A 20,904-nucleotide genomic window follows, 5' to 3' on the forward strand; every position below is an offset into this window, starting at 1 on the left:
GTCTGTCCCCACCTGCTCGAGGCTGCATGGCCAGTGGATATCAGCAGAGATCATGCAAGAGAAGGCCTAATGCGAGACACCAGCACCCCAGAGCAGCAAAGCCCTGGGTAGCTACTAATCCCAGAATGGGTGGGTAGAGTAAACGTGAGCCCCACCCACAGATGAAGCTGCTGAGGCCTGCGTGGTCCACTGGCCCTGCTGTTTTCAGACCCATCTGCACCCCTTTCTCCGGCTCACTGTAGACCAGTCATTCTGAAAGAGCCCATGAAAAACACCAAGTTCTCTCCTGCCTCAGGACTTTGTACCTGCTGCTTCAGTGCCTGGAATACTGACTCCTTCCCATGAAAAACACCAAGTTCTCTCCTGCCTCAGGACTTTGTACCTGCTGCTTCAGTGCCTGGAATACTGACTCCTTCCCATGAAAAACACCAAGTTCTCTCCTGCCTCAGGACTTTGTGCCTGCTGCTTCAGTGCCTGGAATACTCATTCCTTCCATTGTTTGCACAAGCACCGCCAGGGGGTGGGGCTCACAGAGGCGCACTGCGGCAGGAACTGGATGTGGGTGTCAAGGTGGTCACAGAACAGACGGCTGGGTCAGCTCCCCAAGGAGAAGCCCTGAGCTGCCCAACAGGTCCCTCTTAGGCCCCACACTTCAGAGGCAGGGCTGCCACGCATGCCTCCTGGATCACCTCTTGGTGTCCCATGGCCCCTGTGGGGCTCCTACCTGGCACATCCTCACCTCCAGGCTCCCCCGGCTCCAACTCAGCAGGGAGGTGGGAGGTTGACGGGAGCAGGCAGGCATGGGAGGGCTCAGCCGGGGTATGAGGGGTGGGCAGAGTCCCCCCACCTGGCTCACCCTTTCTCTTCCTCTCCTCCTCTGGGCACCTTCTTTGACTCCCACAGGCTCCTAGCTCAGACCTCTCCACTCTTCCTGGCTTTCCTTCAGGGAGGTCAGGAAAGTCAGGGACCCGTGGATAAAGACCAGGAGAACACAATGTAAGTATCTGGGCAAAGAACCTCTTAGGCAGAGGGCTTGGCGAGTGCAGAGCCCCAGGGACCTGTGCAGGGCCTGATCAAGACCCTTGGAGGAGTCCAGGGGTGGCTAGAGTGCAGCAAGCAGGGGAGGGACTGGAGTAGCCATAGAAGGGACCAGGACAGACTGAGCCCCAAACGTCCCCCTTGCCTGGCCCAGCCCATGTGTTTCCGGTATTGGTGGGTTCTTGGTCTCACTGACTTCAAGAATGAAGCTGTGGACCCTGGCAATGAGTGTTACAGCTCTTAAAGGCAGCGTGTCCGGAGTTTGTTCCTTCTGATGTTCAGATGTGTTCGGAGTTTTTTCCTTCTGGTGGGGTTCGTGGTCTCACTGGCTCAGGAGTGAAGCTGCGGACCTTCGCGGTGAGTGTCACAACTCTTAAGGTGGTGCGTCTGGAGTTGTTCGTTCCTCCCGGTGGGTTCGCGGTCTCACTGGCTTCAAGAGTGAAGCTGCAGACCTTCAACAAATGAGTGTTACAGCTCGTAAACACGGTGTGGACCCAAAGACTAAAAGAACAAAGCTTCCACAATGTGGTAAGGGTACCCCAGCGGGTTGCCGCTCCTGGCTCGGGCAGCCTTCTTTTATTCTCTTATCTGACCCCACCCACATCCTGCTGATTGGTAGAGCCGAGTGGTCTGTTTTCACAGGGTGCTGATTGGTGTGTTTACAATCCCTGAGCTAGACACAAAGGTTCTTCACGTCCCCGCCAGATTAGCTAGATACATTGTCGATTGGTGCATTCACAAACCCTGAGCTAGACACAGGGTGCTGATTGGTGTGTTTACGAACCTTGAGCTAGATACAGAGTACCGATTGGTGAATTTACAATCCCTTAGCTAGACATAAAGGTTCTCCACGTCCCCACCAGACTCAGGAGCCCAGCTGGCTTCACCCAGTGAATGTGGAGCTGCCTGCCAGTCCCGCACCGTGCACCCGCACTCCTCAGCCCTTGGGTGGTTGATGGGACTAGGCGCCGTGGAGCGGGGGCGGCGCTCGTCAGGGAGGCTCGGGCTGCACAGGAGCCCACGGAGGAGCGGGGGAGGCTCAGGCATGGCGGGCTGCAGGTTCCGAGCCCCGCCCCGCGGGAATGCAGCTAAGGCCCGGCGAGAAATTGAGCACAGCAGCTGCTGGCCCAGGTGCTAAGCCCCTCACTGCCTGTGGCCGGTGGGGCCGGCTGGCTGCTCCGAGTGCAGGGTCCGCCGAGCCCACGAACCCCACCAGAAGGAAGAAACTCTGAACACGTCCGAACATCAGAAGGAACAAACTCCAGACACACCGCCTTTAAGAACTGTAACACCGCGAGGGTCCGCGGCTTCATTCCTGAAGTCAGTGAGATCAAGAACCCACCAATTCCGGACACACATGGGGATGCTAGGCCAAAACCCGTAAGAGCCGGCCGGCCTCCAGGAGGGGCAGGGGTCTTCCCCTACACAGGGGTCCCGGCTCAGGGCCGCTGCCCTTCCCCGCAGCTCCAGTGCCCCGGGACCTTGGGAAATCATCCTGCTCTTTGTCCTGACCTGAGCCAATGCATTTGCCTTGTCGAGCCCTTAGGAGCAGAAAAGCGTAGGCGAGCAGCTGGCAGCCACCATCGCATTTGCTCCCGGAAGGCAAGAGGAGGCAGAGAAAATTCCAGAACCCATTTAAGCGTCTGGGACCCTGAGGTAACCATGAGCTACTGGCAGGCCGGGGGACACAGCGGGTACAGAAGGGGTCTCTGGAGTTTCGTGAGGAAGTATTCGGGCTGTGCGGCGCCGCGACCCTGGCAGGACGCTGCTGTCCCGCCAGCGAAAGCGGGGCGCGCTCAGGGCTGCGGGCAGCGGGGGTGCAGCGGGGAGAGCCAGGGCCTGGGCGCGGAGGAGGGGCTGGTATGGGACCCTCCGGGTGGGCGCGGCCCCGCGGGGCCTTGCGGCCACACCGCCACCGTGCCCAGCGGCCCCATCAGCGCATATTCAGGATGAACCCCGGACACGCGCCCAGAACCGTCTGGTGACCCAGTGATGAAAGCTCGAATCTTATAGGATCCGTATTCATTTCCCGTGGGCTCAAGCCCAGCCTCCGCGGGCGGCGCGGGCCCTCGCGGCGAGTGTCCACGAGGAGGCGGTGTGGACCCGCGGCCCCAGACCAGGCCTCAGGCAGAAGGCGAGCGCGAGCGCCCCGCCCAGCCCCTCCCCGTCCCGCAACCCGCGCCCCGACCAGCGCCCCCAGCACCTCTCCACCCTCGCTCTCGAGCAGTCTCCACGTTTGTCTCAGAGGAGACCCACTTTGCTCCCCAGCGTGGGCCCCTGAGCGCTGGGGGAAGTTGGTTGGTTTGTTAATGACAGAGTCTCGCTCTGTTGCCCAGGCTGGAGTGCAATGGTGCAATCTCAGCTCACTGCAACCTCCGTCTCCCGGGTTCAAGCGATTCTCCTGCCTCAGCCTCCCGAGTAGCTGGAATTACAGTGCACGCCACTACGCCCGGCTAATTTTTGTATTTTTAGCAGTGACGGGGTTTTGCCATGTTGGCCAGGCTGGTCTTTTTTTTTTTTTTTTTAAACTAGATGTTTCCTTTATTCATTCACACACTTAAGTAACATAGACTTATAATTTGTAACAAATAGAACAGAGGTTACACATATAAGACAAAAATCTTGAGTTTGAAAACTTTATTATCTGGCTGTTTTGTCAACATGATAATTTCATATACAACCACGTAAAAACATCTCTGGTGTTTAGATTTTTCCGTTTATTCTAGCTGTTTCATATTTGTAGACGTAGCCATGGCATGTACAGAATATGCATAGCAACAGGACTTTCATATAATATAGTACAGTTGGAAAAAAACACTATCTTGCTAGGGAGATATGTCAAGTAGATTCTAGTTTCCACATTATTTTGATTTTACTGTATTTAACTTTGTATATATTTTACATGTATTAAATGTTTTGATGAAACATTTCAAACTCTATATTAGAAATGTTGGCAAACATTAGTATCTATAAAATATAATCTGTATATATTGTATAATCTGGATATAAATATCCAGAAATCTGTCATATTTTTATACCAATTACAATGGTCAAAGTTGACACTATTCTTAAATATACTTAATGATTATCTGGATTATCTCCATATCTATTTTTGGCCCTCTTTTGCCATCCATACGTGAAGTATAATGATCCTTATTCTTTATGGCATTTTTTTTTTTTTTTTGACGGAGTCTGGCTCTGTCACCCAGGCCAGAGTGTGCAGTGGCGTGATCTTGGCTCACTGCAAGCTCCACCTCCTGGGTTCACGCTATTCTCCTGCCTCAGCCTCCTGAGTAGCTGGGACTACAGGCGCCCGCCACTACACCCGGCTAATTTTTTGTATTTTTAGTAGAGACGGGGTTTCAGCACGTTAGCCAGGATGGTCCCGATCTCCTGACCTCGTGATCTGCCCGCCTCGGCCTCCCAAAGTGCTGGGATTACAGGCATGAGCCACCGCGCCTGGCCCCTATTTTTATTTTTTGAGACAAGGTCTGGCTTTGTCGCCCACACTGGAGGGAGTGGTGTCATCTCGGCTTACTGCAACCTCTACCTCCCAGGATCAAGCAATCCTCCCACCTCAGCCTCCTGAGTAGCTGGGACTACAGGTGTGTTCCACGACACCAGGCTAATTTTTGTATTTTTTATAGAGATGGCGGCGGGGGTGGGGTGCACCTCACTATGTTGCCCAGGCTGGTCTTTAACTCCTGGGCTCAAGTGATCCTCCTGCCTCAGCCTCCTAAAGTGCTGGGATTACAGGTGTGAGCCACCGCCTGGCCTCCGTAATTCTTTTACTTCCTCAATGCTAGGCCTCAGAGAGCATCCCGGCCACCCTATGGGAGAAAACTTTGTTCTGAATCCCCTTAGCTCAGTCGTCCTGTGCAGCCAGGTCAAGCACAGCTCATGCCTCCTGGACTAGCGGGGTTTGGAGAACTTGCTCCTTTTCCTGGAGGGCCAAGAGGGATGGCAGTGCTATGGCAGGGGCCAGGGCAGTGTTAACAGGACCTCTGAGCACAGATGCACAGAGGGTCAAGGAGGGAGATTTCTGGGGAAAGAGCATTCCAGGCCGAGGGAACAGCCCATGGAGAGGCCCAGAGGCAGGGGTGTGTTTGCCAGTGCAGGAAACAAGGAGACTCTTGTGGCTGAAGCAGACGTAGTGGAGGAGGAGGGACTAGGGCCGAGGTCATGGCGGCTTTGTAGACCACCGTGGGAACTCTGGCTTTTCTTTGGAGCAAAATGGGAGCCTTGTAGGATTCTTGGGGAGAGGAAATCCAGAAAAGAAGCAATGGTGGTAGCTTGTCCCCAAGCAGTGGTCTTGGAGATGGTGAGAACCCACCAGGTTCTGGGGGGGCTTCTGAAGTGGAGCGAGGAATTCCTAATAACGACAGAATCAGCATAATCATGACCCCCGCCCCCAGACTTCCACATCCTAATCCCCAGAATTTGTAAATGTGTTACCTTCCATGGCAAGGGGAATAAAGGCAGCAGATGAATTGAAGTTGCTAATCAGTTACCCTTAAAATAGGGAGCTTTCCCTGGGTCAGCAGGTGATCCCAATGTCATCACAGGGTCCTTCAACGTGGAAGAGGGAGGCGGAAGAGAAGGCCAGAGTAACGCAGTGTGAGAAGGATTTGACCCAGTGTTGCTGACTTTGAGCCTGGAGGAAGGGGCCACGAGCCAGGGAATGCCGGTGGCCTCTAGGAGGTGGAAACAGCCAAGAATGGATTCTCCCCTAGAGCCCCAGAAAGAATGTGGCCCTGCCAACACCTTGACTTTAGCTCAGGGAGACCCCTGTCTCAGACTTCTGACCTCCGGAAGTATCAGAGAATAACTCTGTGTTGTTTTAAGCCACTGAGTTTGAAATAATTTTTTCCTGCAACCACAGGAAACTCATACAGACTGGGGTGAGGTAGGGTTAGGGAAAATCAAAGAGGACCTGAAGACCTTGGCCTGAGCAGTGGGGAGGATGGATCTGCCCTCATCTGGGGCAGGAAGGCTGAGGCTGGGGATGGGGCATTTGAGAGAGCTTGGGACATCGTAAGCAGTGACCTGATTGGTTTCAGCACCCCCAGGGTCTGGCACAGTGCTGCACAGGGGAGGGCCCTCAGGTGACTGTGGAATAAATGAATGAATGTATGATGCATGCATGAATGAATGTTTAGCTGCTCAGTAAATATATGTGGTATGCATGCGTGAGTAAGTGGAAGAGGCTGAGCTGTGACCCCAATATCAGGGGTTGCTGGGGGTGGGGTGCCAGGAGAGGGTTGGTCACAGCCATACCCCTTGCCTGTCTTCAGACCAGCTCTGGGGGAGCAGCCCAGTGGAGGTGTGGCTGCCCCACCTGCTGCCTTCCCCCAGCCAGCCCCCTAGCCCAGTCCTGCAGGCCCCTGTCTGCCTGTGATACAGACTATATCCCCGGGAGCCCTTTCACAAACGCCATTTTTCTCCATCTTGCCCCATTTCCCAATCATAGTTAGGGCCGGGACATCTTCCCAGATGCCCTGGCCCCAGAGAGAGGCTTCTGGAAGCCTTCCTATGGGAGCAGAGGGACCTTAGGATTTGGACAGCCCTGCCTTGGGCCAAGGAGCCAGCTCTCAGACCCTCGGCCTCTTCCGCGAGCCCCTTAGGAGTGAGGGGTCAGCAGAGCAGGGCTGTCCCAGCCAGCATCCCAAGGACGTGGGAGGAGTGACAACCCAGGGGCACTTGTCGGCCTGGCGTCTCTGACAAACTCCAGTGATGGGTGGGTGTGGCACACGGCAGCTGAGGACAGACGAGCACAGCAAGAAGCCTGCACAGCCCCGGAGTGGGAGGGCCTGGCGTGTGGCCTGCAGGCTCTGGTGGCCTTCACAGATCTTTCCTCTCTGTAGCCTTGATGTTTGCGTCTGTTCAATGAAAATTAGCCACAGCTTACTTTTGTCGTGTATTAAAGACATTTGTAGCAAACACCCATGATAGCTGGCGTGTGCCATGCTCTCTGCTGCTCCCAGGCCACCTCATCTGGATGAGGGTGATGTGCCCGTACGGTAGAGGTGATGCCACCTATGAGGGTGATGCCCAGTAGAGCCCTGAGCTGCACAGCCCCTGGGCTAGGAGGTGAGGGTGGCTCTTGGGTCTTTGGTGGCTCCCATTCCTTGTCAGAGCCATTTTCCTCCTCCCAGAAGCCGTCTTCTGGCCTCCTTCCTGTTCAACCCCAGCCCCTCCACACACCGAGCGGGGTGTCTGTATTTCATCCCCACGGAGCCTTCATCTCAGCTGCCAGTGAGGGTTCAGGTGCCATCTGAGGCGTCTGCTGATAGCCAAGGTGTTACCACTCAACTCCGGTGTTGGGTGATGGCTACAGCGCAGTCTGCAAATTAAGATGTTTGATGGTAAAGAGTTACTTATAACAAAGAGGTTTTTGAAGACAGAAACTGCCGAGGAAGACGAACCCCAGGAGAGATGCTCTTGGGGGCGAGTTACATACCTGGCAGCTCCCGGCAGGCTCCTCCCCAAGTTGAAAAGTCCCTTCAGGTGGGAAGAGCCCAGGGAAAAATGTAGTCCTCACTGAACAGCTGAGAAACTGGGGCTCAGAAGGAAGGACCAACTGCAGCCTTGGTGGTCCCCAGGATAGAGGGCAGGGCTCCCCATGCCCCCAGACCCAGGCCCTCATATTCCCCACCAAAGGCTCAGGAATGTGTGGCTCCATGTAGGAGTGTGGGTGAAGGGGAGCTGAACATAAGCAGGATGGCTAGAAACGGGCAGGGAACCAGATCCCCTCCCCCCACAGCCTCCACCCACAGCTGGGCTTCTGGGCTTCCCCCGCCAGGCCAGACACCAGTGGCTTCTTCCCTGGCGTGGAGCAGACGGAGGGTCTCTGGATGCGGGGGAATATCAGGCTCAGCGGGGCTGAGGTTTCATGCTGAAGGTGGGAGGATGTGATGCACATTTACATGATGCCAAGACCCCAGCGCCGTCCCATCCACCCACCCGCAGTGCTCAGAACGCCGGCAGCCAGACCTCTCCCCTCTATGCAGGGTGTCACAGGGTGTCCAGGGAACCTGATCGGCAGATCACACGGGCGGTTTCCTGCCAGGTCACTGCTTACCAGTCCCTACTCTCCAGCCTGAGAAGCCAGCCGGGATGACCAGACATCTGAGAGATTCCTCTGATGTGGAAGAGAGAGACAAAACAAACAGAAAAAGGACAACTGGAAGGAAACAGAGACTGTTCTGCGAGAAGACAGCTTGGAAAAAACTGTCATTAATATATTCAAGAAGGAAAGATAAAATTTTGTATTTATGAAAAAAGAACTAGGTGCCATAAAGAAAGAACATTTGGAGAATATAAAGAGCACTTGGAAATTAAAAATAGGATCATGGAAATTGAAAACTCAGTAGAAGAGTTGGAAGATAAGATTGAGGAAATTTTATAGAAATTAGAGCAAAAAGTTGAAAATAAAGCCCTTGCAGTGGTGCATGCCTGTCGTCCAAGCTACTCAGGAGACCAGGGTGGGAGGATCACTTGAGTCCAGAAGTTCGAGACCAGCCTGTGCAACATAGCAAGATCCTGTCTCAAAAAAAAAAAAAAAAAAAAAAAAGTTGAAAAAGAAAAAAGTTGAAAATGAGAGAAAAAAAGGAATTGAAGGACCAGTCTGGGACACTTAACATCTACATAATATGTCTAGATAGGGAGAACAAGGAGGGGAGAAAATCATCAAAGAAACAATCCAAAAACATTTCACAGAAATTAAACTCAGCCAGGCACAGTGGCTCACGCCTGTAATCCCAGTACTTTGGGAGGCCGAGGCGGGCGGATCACCTGAGGTCAGGAGTTTGAGACCAGCCTGGCCAACGTGGTGAAACCCCGTCTCTACTAAAAATACAAAAATTAGCCAGACATGGTGGTAATCCCAGCTACTCAGGAGGTCGAGGTGGGAGAATTGCTTGAACCTGGGAGGCAGAGGTTGCAGTGAGCCGAGATCATCTCAGTGCACTTCAGCCTGGGCAACAGAGGGAGACTCTATCTCAGAAAAAAGAAAAAAAAAAAAGAAATTAAACTCAAGTTTCTGGATTGAAAGGACCTGTTGAGTGCTTAGAACCAAGAATGAAAGCAGATGTGTACTTAAGGCACATCAAAGGGAGTTTCAGAACATGGGAGACAAAGAGAAGATCCTGTAAATATCCAGAGAGAAACAACAGGTCCTGGCCAGCAGTGGTGGCTCACGCTTGTAATCCCAGAACTTTGGGAGGCCTAGGCGGGCAGATCACTTGAGGCCAGGAGTTCGAGACCAGCCTGGCTAACATGGCGAAACTCTGTCTCTACTAAAAATACAAAAAATTAGCCAGGCATGGTGGTGGGCGCCTATAATCCCAGCTACCTGGGACGCTGAGGCAGGAGAATCGCTTGAACCTGGGAGGTGGAGGTTGCGGTGAGCTGAGATCGCCCCGTTGTACTCCAGCCTGGGAGACAAAAGTGAAACTCCGTCTCAAAAACAGAAAAGCAGTAGGTCCTGTACAACTGGCCAGGATCAGAATGGCTTCTGACTTCGCAACAACACAACTAGATGGTTGAAGTCAATGAATGAAAGCTCTCAAAATTCTGAAGTTGGATGATTTCTAACCTCAATTTTTATACTTAGCCAAACTATTCATCATGAGTGAGGGTAGAAGAGAGAATTTCAGAATGATAAGCCTTCAAAAAATGTACATCCCTGGCCCCTTTCTCAGGAAGTGACTCCAGGGTATGCTCTGTCAAAGAGAGAGTAAACCAAGAAAGAGGAAGTGGTGGGATCCAGGAAGCGGGATCCTACATAAGACAGAAGGGCGAAAGAATGCTGGTGAAGGGAGGCCCCAGGGTGAAGGCTATGCCCCCAGCTCACAAAACAGAGTCTACTTTGAGTTGGCAGAATATCTGACATACTGAAATGCTTTGGGGGAGACTGGGACATTTGGCAGAATTTGGAGTTGAATTAGTAATAAAAAAAAGTAAGCAAAATTAGAAAGACAGCATTTATTAACTCCAGAGGAAACAAGAAGTTAAGCAGGGAAGGAAAAGTTATGATGGCCCATTACATAGCTCAGGTATGAAAGAGTTCATGCTGTCCCCTCACAATGTCAACTGTGACTCTTGACCTAAATCAAAGATGATATAGTGATACTGGAGGTCAGGAAGTAGCAATTTAAGTGTGCTTTTCAGGGATATGAAGATGAAACCAAAAGAATGAGCTGCAAGTTGAAGGCAGTTGCCTCCAGAGATGTGAGTACAGGGGACTGCTGTATTTTGTAAGCAGCCTTGTAAAACTATGTAGCTGTTTAAATTATGTGCATGTGGCTGGGTGTGGTGGCTCATGCCTGTAATCCCAGCACTCTGGGAAGCCAAGACGGGAGGATTGCTTGAGCCCAGGAGTTCGAGACATGCCTGGGCAAGATGGCAAGACCCCACCTCTACAAAAAAATCTGCTGAGCGTGGTGGTACACACCTGTAGTCCCAGCCACTTGAGAGGCTGAGGTGGGAGGATCGCTTAAGCCCAGGAATTTGAGGTGGCAGTCAGCTATGACTGTGCCACTACACTCTAGCCTGGGTAGCAAAGTGAGACTCTGTCTGTCTTAAAAAAAAAAAAGAAGAAGAAAAAAGAAAATGTGCATGTATAACTCTGATGAAAAGTAAAAACTAAATTCGAAACACACTCATGACTTACATACCGTTTTCCCTTGTTGGTAAGTCAGCGGGATTTGAACTTGTGCCTCGGGATCGACAGATTTCTGTGTAGTACTAGAGCATGTCCCTGTTGTCACAGGGCCACCTGCACCCCCCCAAGTGTGGTATTGACAGGGAAAAGAGCATTTTACCAATTCAGGTCTGTGCATACCGGCAAGGGAGCACCTCTCAGCAGCCTCCTGCACTGGAGAATGCAGGGAGGGAGCAGGGTTGCTGCTGGGGGCTCCCGTCATGCTGCAGTGGGGGCTGTATGACAGCACACCCCTATCCTGCTAACACCGGGCCAGGTAGAGTGTGCCACTGGGGGATTCTCAATGACTGATCTTTTGTTTTGAGATGGAATCTTGCTCTGTCGCTCAGGCTGGAGTGCAGTGGCATGATCTCGGCTCACTGCAACCTCCGCCTCCCTGGCTCAAGGGATTCTCCTGCCTCAGCCTCCCGAGTAGCTGGGATTACAAGTACCTGCCACCACACCCAGCTAATTTTTGTATTTTTAGTAGAGACGTGGTTTCCCCATGTTGGCCACGCTGATCTCGAACTCCTGACCTCAGGTGATCCACCCACCTCGACCTCCCAAAGTGCTGGGATTACAGGCGTGAGCCACTGCACCTGGCCCGACTGATCTTATAATAAGCACACACGTTAATGTGTAGTAATAAAATGCTGCTTTTACCTGCCATTATAGATGGTGGTGACACTAAGTTTTATCTTCAATGAGCAAAAATGCTCATTTGTATTTATTTAATTACTAGTGAAGTAGAACATTGTCTTAGTCTATTTTGTGGTGCTGTAACAGAATACTCAAGACTGGGTCATTTATAGAACAGATTTCTTTCTTTTCTTTTTTTTTTTTTTTTTTTTGAGATGGAGTCTTCCTCTGCTGCCAGGCTGGAGTGTGGTGGCGGGATCTCGGCTCATTGCAACCTCCGCCTCCTGGGTTCAAGCGAGTCTCCTGCCTCAGTCTCCCATGTAGCTGGGAGTACAGGCGCCTGCCACCCCACCCAGCTAATTTTTTGTATTTTTAGTAGAGACGGGGTTTCACTGTGTTAACCAGGATGGTCTCGATCTCCTGACCTCGTGATCCGCCCGCCTCGGCCTCCCAAAGTGCTGGGATTACAGGCGTGAGCCACCGCACCAGGCTAGAACAGATTTGTTTCTTCCAGTTCTGGAGTCCAGGAAGCCCAAGGTCTAGGAACTCACACTGGGACAAGGGCCTCCTTGCTGCATGATCCCATGGAGGAAGGTAGAAGGGCAACAGGGCATGCCCCAGAGAGAGAGAGAAGGGAAGGAGGCCAAACTCATCCTTTTATTAGGAACCCACTCCCATGAGAACCCGCGTCAGCTAGAATGGCATTAATGCATTCATGAGGGCTTGGCTTATTAAAAGTCCCACCTTTCAACACTGGAGCACTGGGGACTAAATTTCTAATACATGAACTTTGAGGGACACATTCAAACCCTAACAAACATGTTTATTTATTCATTTATTTTTTGAGACAGGGTCTCACTTCATCACCCAGGCTGGAGTGAAGTGTCACCGTTGTAAATCATTACAGCCTTGAACTCCTGGGCTCAAGTGATCCTCCTGCTTCAGCCTTCTGAGTAGCTGGGATTATAGGTGGGCACCACTGTGCCCAGCTAACTTATTTTTATTTTTTAGTAGAGCAGGGGTCTTGCTATGTTGTCCAGGTTGGTTTGAACTCCTGGCCTCAAGCAATCCTCCCACCTCCACCTCCCAAAGTGCTGGGATTATAGGTGTGAGCCAGCGTGCCCTGCCAGGGATTGATTGATTGATTGGTTGATTGATTTTTAGTGACAGGGTCTTGCTCTGTCACCCAGGCTGTAGTGCAGTGGTGTGATCACAGCTCACTGCAGCCTCAACATCTCGGGCTCAAACGATCCTCCTGCCTCAGCCTCCTGAGTCATAAGGTTTTAAACTATGGGCATTTTAAGTTTTGTCATTCACACATAATTAATTGTTTACTCTGGCACTTTCCTGAGCAACTATAAGCCTAAAGTGTTTCATTGTCAAAGAGTGACCAAGGGAAGCTACCCACTAGGGCTCATGGTACCACTGATCTCTTGCAGCAACTGGGGTCATCGGCAAGTTCTCATTCAAGTTCCGAGCTCTACAAATTTGTGTTTTAAACTCTCCAGGTTTAGGCGAGGCGCGGTGGCTCACGCCTGTAATCCCAGCACTTTGGGAGGCCGAGGCGGGAGGATCACGACATCAGGAGATCGAGACCATCCTGGCTAACGCGGTGAAACCCTGTCTATACTAAAAATAGAAAAAAATTACCTGGGTGTGGTGGCGGACACCTGTAGTCCCAGCTACTTGGGAGGCTGAGGCAGGAGAATGGCGTGAGCCCAGGAGGCAGAGCTTGCAGTGAGCCGAGATCGCGCCACTGCACTCCAGCCTGGGCGACAGAGCGAGACTCCGTCTCAAAAAAAAAACAAAAAAACTCTCCAAGTTTATTTGAGCAATTAGTAGACTGGACTGGGTCCTGGATCAAATTGGATCAAATTGGTTCTGATAATTCACTGGACTGGATTCAGCTGGAGGCCTCAGATAGGTACTTTTTTTTTTTTTTTTTTTGAGACAGAGTCTCATTCAGTTGCCCAGGCTGGAGTGCAGTGGTGTGATCTGGGCTCACCGTGACCTCCGCCTCCCGGGTTCAAGCAATTCTCTGCCTCAGCCTCCCGAGTAGCTGGGATTACAGGCATGTGCCACCACGCCTGGCTAATTTTTGTATTTTTAGTAGAGATGGGGTTTCACCATCTTGGCTAGGCTGGTCTAGAACTCTTGACCTCGTGATCCACCCGCCTCGGCCTCCCAAAGTGCTGGGATTACAGGTGTGAGCCACCGCATCCGGCCCACCTTTTTTGATGGTGGGTTTGTTTCAATTCAAGGAGTCTGTGAAAACTGAAATTGGCAAAACTAACATAATCAATTGGAGTGTCTTGGCTAAAGATATTACTGATTGGCAGACATCAGATCCACTCCCACTAGAAAACAGATTGATCCCTTATAAAATAGTTACTGGAAGGCCCATACCTTTAATAACAGAGCTTCACCTGTCTCCTCTCTCCTAAACTCTGATATGACTAAATACTGCAAGACTTTTTTTTTTTTTTTTTTTGAGATGGAGTCTCGCTCTGTCGCCAGGCTGGAGTGCAGTGGCGCGATCTCGGCTCACTGCAACCTCCGCCTCCCGGGTTCAAGGGATTCTCCTGCCTCAGCCTCCTGAGTATCTGGGACTACGTGTGTGCACCACCATGCCCAGCTAATTTTTTTTTTTATTTTTAGTAGAGACGGGATTTCACCATGTTGGCCAGGATGGTCTCGATCTCTTGACCTCGTGATCCGCCCACCTCAGCCTCCCAAAGTGCTGGGATTACAGGCGTGAGCCACCGCGCCCGGCCAATACTGCAAGAGTTTAATGCATTGTGACAAAGTGTACTTTCACCATTGACTGAGGACAATCAAACCTTTCACAGTCTAGAACCTGGAGATTTGGTCTTCTGGAAACGACATCAGAGAGAGACTGCCCTTGAACCCCATTGGAAGAGACCCTACCAAGTTCTTCTCACCACCCACACGGCAGTAAAACTTCAAGGCCTCAAACTTTGGATTCACATCTCATAAGTCAAAAGGGCCCCTCCAGGCTCCTGGAACCGTATACGTGTTGGAGACCTCAACGGAAAGCTGACAAGGGAGGTTTTTCTTCAGATGCAGGTGGGATCCTGGATGTGGGCGGCTTTCCCAAGGTCACAAATCCAGACTTCTCTGTCTTCACGAAAGCCTTTTATTTTTTCCTTTTTTTATTTCCTGTTGTCTTAGTCCCTTCCCTTTCCTTACAGGAGAATCCACTGGACCATAATCTGTGGATGGCTTTAGTACAGGCTTATGCTCTAGCAAGAAACCAGATAAATTGTTGAGTCTGTGGGCTAATGCCCCCCAAATGAGGAAACAATTCCACTGATGCCAGTGCCTCTCCATATTCCGAATAAGTCACCCTGGGCCGGGTGCGGTGGCTCACGCCTGTAACCCAAGCACTTTGGGAGGCCAAGGCGGGTGGATCATCTGAGGTCAGGAGTTTGAGACTAGCCTGGGGAACATGGTAAAACCCCGTCTCTATTAAAAATACAAAAATTAGCCAGGCATGGTGGTGTGTGCCTGCAGTCCCAGCTACTCAGGAGGCTGAGGCAGGAGAATTGCTCGAACCCAGGAGGCGGAGGTTGCAGTGAGCCAAGATCACGCCACTGCACTCCAGCCTGGGCAACAGAGGGAGACTCTGCCTCAAGAAAAAAAAAAAAGAGGCACCCTGAAACCCCAGAGCAGCGTGGAAAGCTATCCTTGATTTTTTTTTTTTTTTTTAAGAGACAGGATCTTGCTGTGTTGCCCATAATGGAGTCAGTGGCATGATTTCAGCTCACTGCAACCTTGGCCTCCTGGGTTCAGATGATCCTCTCACCTCAGCCTCCCAATTATCTGGGACTACAGTGGTGCACCACCAAGCCCGGCTAATTTTTTGTAAAGACAGGGTCTTGTTGCCCAGGCTGGTCTCGAACTCCTGGGCTCAAACAATCCACCCACCTTGGCCTCCCAATGTGCTGGGATTACAGGCGTGATCCACCGTGACTGTTCTATCCTTGATATTCCAGACATCATTGCTAATGCTTTTCTTTAGTTTTCTTTTGAGATGGAGTCTTGCTCTATCACCCAGGTTGAAGTGCAGTGGCATGATCTCGGCTCACTGCAACCTTCGCCTCCCAGGTTCAAGTGATTCTCCTGCTTCAGCCTCCGAGTAGCTGGGATTATAGGCATGTGCCACCACACCCGGCTAATTTTTATATTTTCACTAGAGATGGGGTTTTGCCATATTGGCCAGGCTGATCTCAAACTCCTGACCTCAAGTGATCCACCCGCCTTGGCCTCCCAAAGTGCTGGGATTACAGGTGTGAGCCACCACGCCTGGCCTGCTAATGCTTTTCTGTACTCACTGGAAATAGCACCCTGTCCTTTCCAGTTACTAACCGAATCAGATATAGAAGCCCTATCCAAATGAGGCCTACAAAAGGTACATTGTGCTTCCAGGCATCATGTATTCAAGACCTGGGGACCACCTATGTGGGTACAAGTAATTCCCTGTATGATGTCACTGGTTAAGTCATGGAAGGTCTCTTTTTTCTTTTTCTTTTTCTTTTTTTTTTTTGAGACGGAGTCTTGCTCTGTCACCCAGGCTGGAGTGCAGTGGCCCCATCTCCGCTCTCTGCAAGCTCCGCCTCCCAGGTTCATGCCATTCTCTTGCCTCAGCCTCCCGAGTAGCTGGGACTACAGATGCCTGCTACGACACCCGGCTAATTTTTTATATTTTTAACAGAGACGGGGTTTCGCCATGCTAGCCAGGATGATCTCGATCTCCTGACCTCGTGATCCACCCGTCTCAGCCTCCCAAAGTGCTGGGATTACAGGCGTGAGCCACCACGCCCGGCTCCTGTCTAATTTTTATACCAAAGAAGTGAAATTATGTCATTTTTGAACTTTAAGGAAACTAATATCTTAAAGGATTAATTAGGTCAGAAAAACACATAATTTATCATTGGATTTTGGAAGGTTTGTCAAATATCAAATCTTTAAAACAATCGATATCACAAAATAGGATCACAGATCATTGTAAAATAAGTCATTCATTTAACCCAAGTGATAACGCAAGGATTTCAAAAAAAGGTGAAAACCTTCATTCTTTGAGAGAGGAGATTTAATTTTCCAAACAATAAGTCCTACTAAAAACAGTATGAAGCCGATTAAATTTGTTTTTCTTTTTAGTTTTTCTTTTTTTTTTTTTTGAGACGGAGTTTCCCTCTGTCACCCAGGCTAGAGTGCAGTGGCACAGGCTCAGCTCACTGCAACCTCTGCCCCCTGGGTTCAAGCAATTCTCTTGTCTCAGCTTCCTGAGTTGCTGGGACTATAGGTTCATGCCACCACACTCAGCTAATTTTTGTATTTTTAGTAGAGACAGGGTTTTGCCATGTTGGCCAGACTGGTCTCAAACTCCTGACCTCAGGCGATCCATCTGCCTTGGCCTCCCAAAGTGCTGGGATTACGGGTGTGAGCCACCACGCCAGGACTTAAATTTGTTTTTCAAAATTTTATAAACAATCTATAAAATGTTAATCTTGACCATCAGATATAACCTCCATAAGCCTTTTATAACCTTTATAACCTTTATTAAGGAGTCCGTTAATGCTTCAAAAAAATCTTGTTAATCTGACACAGGGGCTCATATGCTGGTCTTGCATCAGTGTGCCTTTGACATTTATGATTAATTTATAGAGAAACTGAATGTATTTTATCTTTCAAAAATCAGCCCTTACAATCTCACACACCCACCTCTTCGGCGATAGTCCCTGGGCCTTAAGGAGTTGAGTAGCTTTGATTTCTGGCCCTGTGTCTTAGGAATGCAGTTTATTCTGAATGGCAACTTCTACCGGGCCTGAAGATGAGGCTTTACTGTCAGTATTTAAGATTTGGCAGGACCTGGTGTCTTTTTTAGACCCAGCATCATTGTCTGGGGTAAATACCCGAGATTCGTTGTCTCATGGCCACGGAAAACCAGGACTTGGCACACCAGAGTGAGGTTAAGAGCAGAAATTTAATAGGCGAAAGAAAGAGAAAAGACCTCTGCAGAGAGAGGGGTCCCGGAGAACATGAGTTGCCACCTCCACTGTGAAGTGAAAGAGGTTTTATAGATGGGCTTGAGGAAGCGGTGTTTGATTTCCATAGGGCACAAAAGATTGGTCGGACCAGGTGTGGCATTTGCATAGTGCATGAAAATCTGGCCACCCCCACTCTAATCTTTTATTATGCAGATGGGTTTTCTACCTGGCTGGTACCATGTCGCCAGCTTCTTTACAGTACACGTGGTGACAAAGAATAGGGAAGATGGAGCCTCCGTGTTGAACATACCTGGCTCCCAGGTAGCCCTTTTCTATTGGCACAGCTGCTGGCATTCACCCGTGCAAGCTGCCAGCTTGCTTATCTATGTTTGCAGCTCGATTTTTCAGGCTGCTTTTTGTTAGAAAAGAAATGATTTGGGGGTTGCTTTTCTTTCTATTCTTTTTTTTTTTTTTTGAGATGGAGTTTCTCTCTTGTTGCTCAGACTGGCATGCAGTGGTGAGGTCTCGGCTCACTGCAACCTCTGCCTCCCAGGTTCAAGCGATTCTCTTGTCTCAGCCTCCCAAATAGCTGGGATTACAGGTGTGTGCCACAATACTCAGCTAATTTTTGCATTTTTAGTAGAGATGGGGTTTCACCATGTTGGTCAGGCTGGTCTCTAACTCCTGACCTCAGGTGATCCACCCACCTCAGCCTCCCAAAGTGCTGGGATTACAGGCATGAGCCACCACGCCTAGCCAAGAGGGCTGCTTTTTTGTTAAAAGGGAAATTTCACTATGGATTCTGTTGTCCCTACTATCTGCCTAAATAATTTCTTTTTAGCTCCTGCATCACCAGGAGTTACAGCCCTGTGACTCAATGTCACAAGGACTGTTAAAGCACATATAGAAAGATACGGGAATGTAACAACTTTAATTTAAAACCTTTGTTTTAAATGAGGTTCAAGCAATTCTCATGCCTCAGTCTCCCAAGTAGCTGGGATTACAGGCATCTGCCACCACGCTGGCTAAGTTTTGTATTTTTAGTAGAGACGGGGTTTCACCATGTTGGCCAGGCTGGTCTCGAACCCCTGACCTCATGATCCGCCTGCCTCGGCCTCCCAAAGTGCTGAGATTACAGGCGTGAGCCACCACACCTGGCCTTAAAAAACAACTATTTTTTAAAACAAATGTTTTTAAACACTTAAATTCCTAAGTGTCTAAACTACGCTCTTCCTTAAAAACACAAGAGTAGGCCCAGAGCAGTGGCTCATGCCTGTAATCCCAGTGCTTTGGGAGGCTGAGGTGGGTGGATCACTTGAGGTCAGGAGTTTGAGACTGGCCTGGCCAACATGGTGAAACCCTGTCTCTACTAAAAATACAAAAATCAGCCGAACATGGTGGCATACGCCTGTAGTCCCAGCTGCTTGGGAGGCTGAGGCAAGAGAATCACTTGAACCTGGGAGGCGGAGGTTGCAGTGAGCCAAAAATCACACCACTGCACTCCAACCTGGGCAACAGAACAAGACTCCATCTCAAAAACAAAAACAAAAACCAAGAGTAGCCTCTGTTGCAATAACTATTTTAGTAAAAAAATCAAGTGAAAAAAATTTTGCTCAAAAATAAAATAAAAGGGTCAGGCATGGTGGCTCACGCCTGTAATCCCAGCACTTTGGAAGGCCGAGGCAGGCAGATCATAAGGTCGGGAGATCGAGACCATCCTGGCTAACACAGTGAAACCCTGTCTCTACCAAAAATACAAAAAATTAGCCGAGTGTGGTGGCGGGCACCTGTAGTCCCAGCTACGTGGGAGGCTGAGGCAGGAGAATGACGTGAACCCGGGAGGCAGAGCTTGCAGTGAGCCAAGATTGCACCACTGCACTCCAGCCTGGGTGACAGAGCGAGATCCCGTCTCAAGAAAAAAAATAATAATAATAAAATAAAAAAGACAAGGTCCTAGGAGAGAAAAACAAAAACATGAAGGCCTTTTAAATACAAACACGCACACATACACACCCGCACATATGCACACATACACACATATATCTTGGATGTTAGCCTTTTACTTAAGCTGACTTTTAACCACTGAGCTCCTTAAAAAATCCTTTAAAATCTCATTACCATATTTTAGCTAGGACAAAGTGCTGCTATTTCAGAAGTACCAAGTATCAAACCAGAAAGGGCTTGTTTAGGAACCAAACCCAGGCTGTCATGGTGAAAAAAAAAAAAATGCAGGACCTTAGGTATAGAACTGCAGGGTGGGGTGACAGCCATTGCTCTTTCAGTTTGGCATGGCTCGCAACAAGCTAGCCTTGTTATGTAAATAAAACCCCTTAAGTAGTCAAAATCAAAAAAGTTTCCTTTTTTGGCCGGGTGCAGTGGCTCACGTTTGTAATCCCAGCACTTTGAGAGGCCGAGGCGGGCAGATCACCTGAGGCCAGGAGTTCAAGACCAGCCTGGCCAACATGGTGAAACCCCATCTCTACTAAAAATACAAAAATTAGCCGGGCGTGGTGGCGCACGCCTGTAATCCCAGCTACTCGGGAAGCTGAGGCAGGAGAATCGCTTGAACCTAGTAGGCGGAAGTTGCACTGAACTGAGATTATGTGTCTCAAAACAAAAAACGAAAAAAAACTTCCCTTCTTTTTTTTCCCCCTTTTTTTCTGGCCATTTTTCTCCCCCCAGCACACCACGTGTGTGTGTGTGTGTGTGTGTGTGTGTGTGTGTGTGTGGTAATTTAGCCACTTTAGAGGCCTTGTTCCCCATAATTTGGAACTTTCCTTTGGATTGGATCAAGTCAGATACAGTTGGTCAAACCCAATGGGAAAAAGACTGAAACAACAACAAAAACAGAAACAAACAAAGAACAACAACAACAAAAAACAGTTAAACAAAACAAATGATCACACAGCTTATATGATTACTGAGTGTTCTAATGATAAGGAGAAATTAAGACCAGCTGGTTGTTAATCTTAACTTTAGCCAAGACAAATGCCAATTCAGTTACTTACCCAGGGATGGGTCTCAGGCTGTAGATTTCTCTCTACCATCCTAGAAGCAGGAAAAAACTCACCTTCCCTGTTGGAAGCAAGCTCAAACTCCATAAGGGAGTTACCTGCCTTCCATCATCATGGAAACAGGAAATCTTGCCTTCCCTGTTGGAAGCAAGTAAAACTCCAAAAAAAGAGGAGTCATACAGCAAAATAACCTCTAAATCTTGACCAAATTTGGGGAGATGAGGGATTCTCTGGAGGGGGTGCTCTCGGACTTCAGCAAATTGTCCTATTGGTTTGAGCCATAAAGTTAGCTCCTTCCAGTACCAAGCACCAATAGGAGATTTGTCAAAAGTCAGAGGCATCTCCACTCAGAATCCCCCCATGGTTACCAAAATGTGAACGCTGAAAACCTGAGACAGGTGTCAGTTAATTTCGAACGTTTATTTTGCCAAGGTTGAGGATGCATGCCCGTGACACAGCCTCGGGAGGTCTTCATGACATGTGCCCAAGGTGGTTGGAG

General features: G+C 49.7%; 1 long non-coding RNA gene across 3 annotated transcripts, besides 4 other annotated features; it reads left to right on the forward strand.

Moving 5' to 3' along the window:
- Positions 429 to 1,253: an enhancer, noted in NCBI's record as "H3K4me1 hESC enhancer chr4:2763311-2764135 (GRCh37/hg19 assembly coordinates)". NCBI's record gives its function as "activates a minimal SCP1, AML or CMV promoter by ChIP-STARR-seq in naive H9 embryonic stem cells {active_cell/tissue: H9 hESC(naive)}" and the evidence as "EXISTENCE:reporter gene assay evidence [ECO:0000049][PMID:30033119]".
- On the forward strand, positions 577 to 14,755 carry LOC102723763 (uncharacterized). Of its 3 annotated transcripts, none has more exons than XR_001741552.2 (3): positions 577 to 996; positions 2,585 to 2,694; positions 14,230 to 14,755. It is a non-coding gene; the product is annotated as an uncharacterized LOC102723763 (long non-coding RNA). The 3 variants fall into 3 exon arrangements; XR_925058.3 differs by lacking the exon at positions 14,230 to 14,755 and adding an exon at positions 14,039 to 14,077; XR_007057993.1 differs by lacking the exon at positions 14,230 to 14,755 and having other exon boundaries at positions 577 to 631; positions 947 to 996; positions 2,585 to 3,404.
- Positions 2,057 to 2,625: an enhancer, noted in NCBI's record as "H3K27ac-H3K4me1 hESC enhancer chr4:2764939-2765507 (GRCh37/hg19 assembly coordinates)". NCBI's record gives its function as "activates a minimal SCP1, AML or CMV promoter by ChIP-STARR-seq in naive H9 embryonic stem cells {active_cell/tissue: H9 hESC(naive)}" and the evidence as "EXISTENCE:reporter gene assay evidence [ECO:0000049][PMID:30033119]".
- Positions 2,816 to 3,365: a silencer, noted in NCBI's record as "silent region_15181". NCBI's record gives its function as "represses an Ori minimal core promoter by ATAC-STARR-seq in GM12878 lymphoblastoid cells {active_cell/tissue: GM12878}" and the evidence as "EXISTENCE:reporter gene assay evidence [ECO:0000049][PMID:35858748]".
- Positions 10,185 to 10,234: an enhancer, noted in NCBI's record as "active region_21183". NCBI's record gives its function as "activates an Ori minimal core promoter by ATAC-STARR-seq in GM12878 lymphoblastoid cells {active_cell/tissue: GM12878}" and the evidence as "EXISTENCE:reporter gene assay evidence [ECO:0000049][PMID:35858748]".
- Positions 14,756 to 20,904: the final 6,149 nt, after the last annotated feature.

Source organism: Homo sapiens, chromosome 4 (genome assembly GCF_000001405.40).
Source record: "Homo sapiens chromosome 4, GRCh38.p14 Primary Assembly".
NCBI lineage: Eukaryota > Metazoa > Chordata > Mammalia > Primates > Hominidae > Homo > Homo sapiens.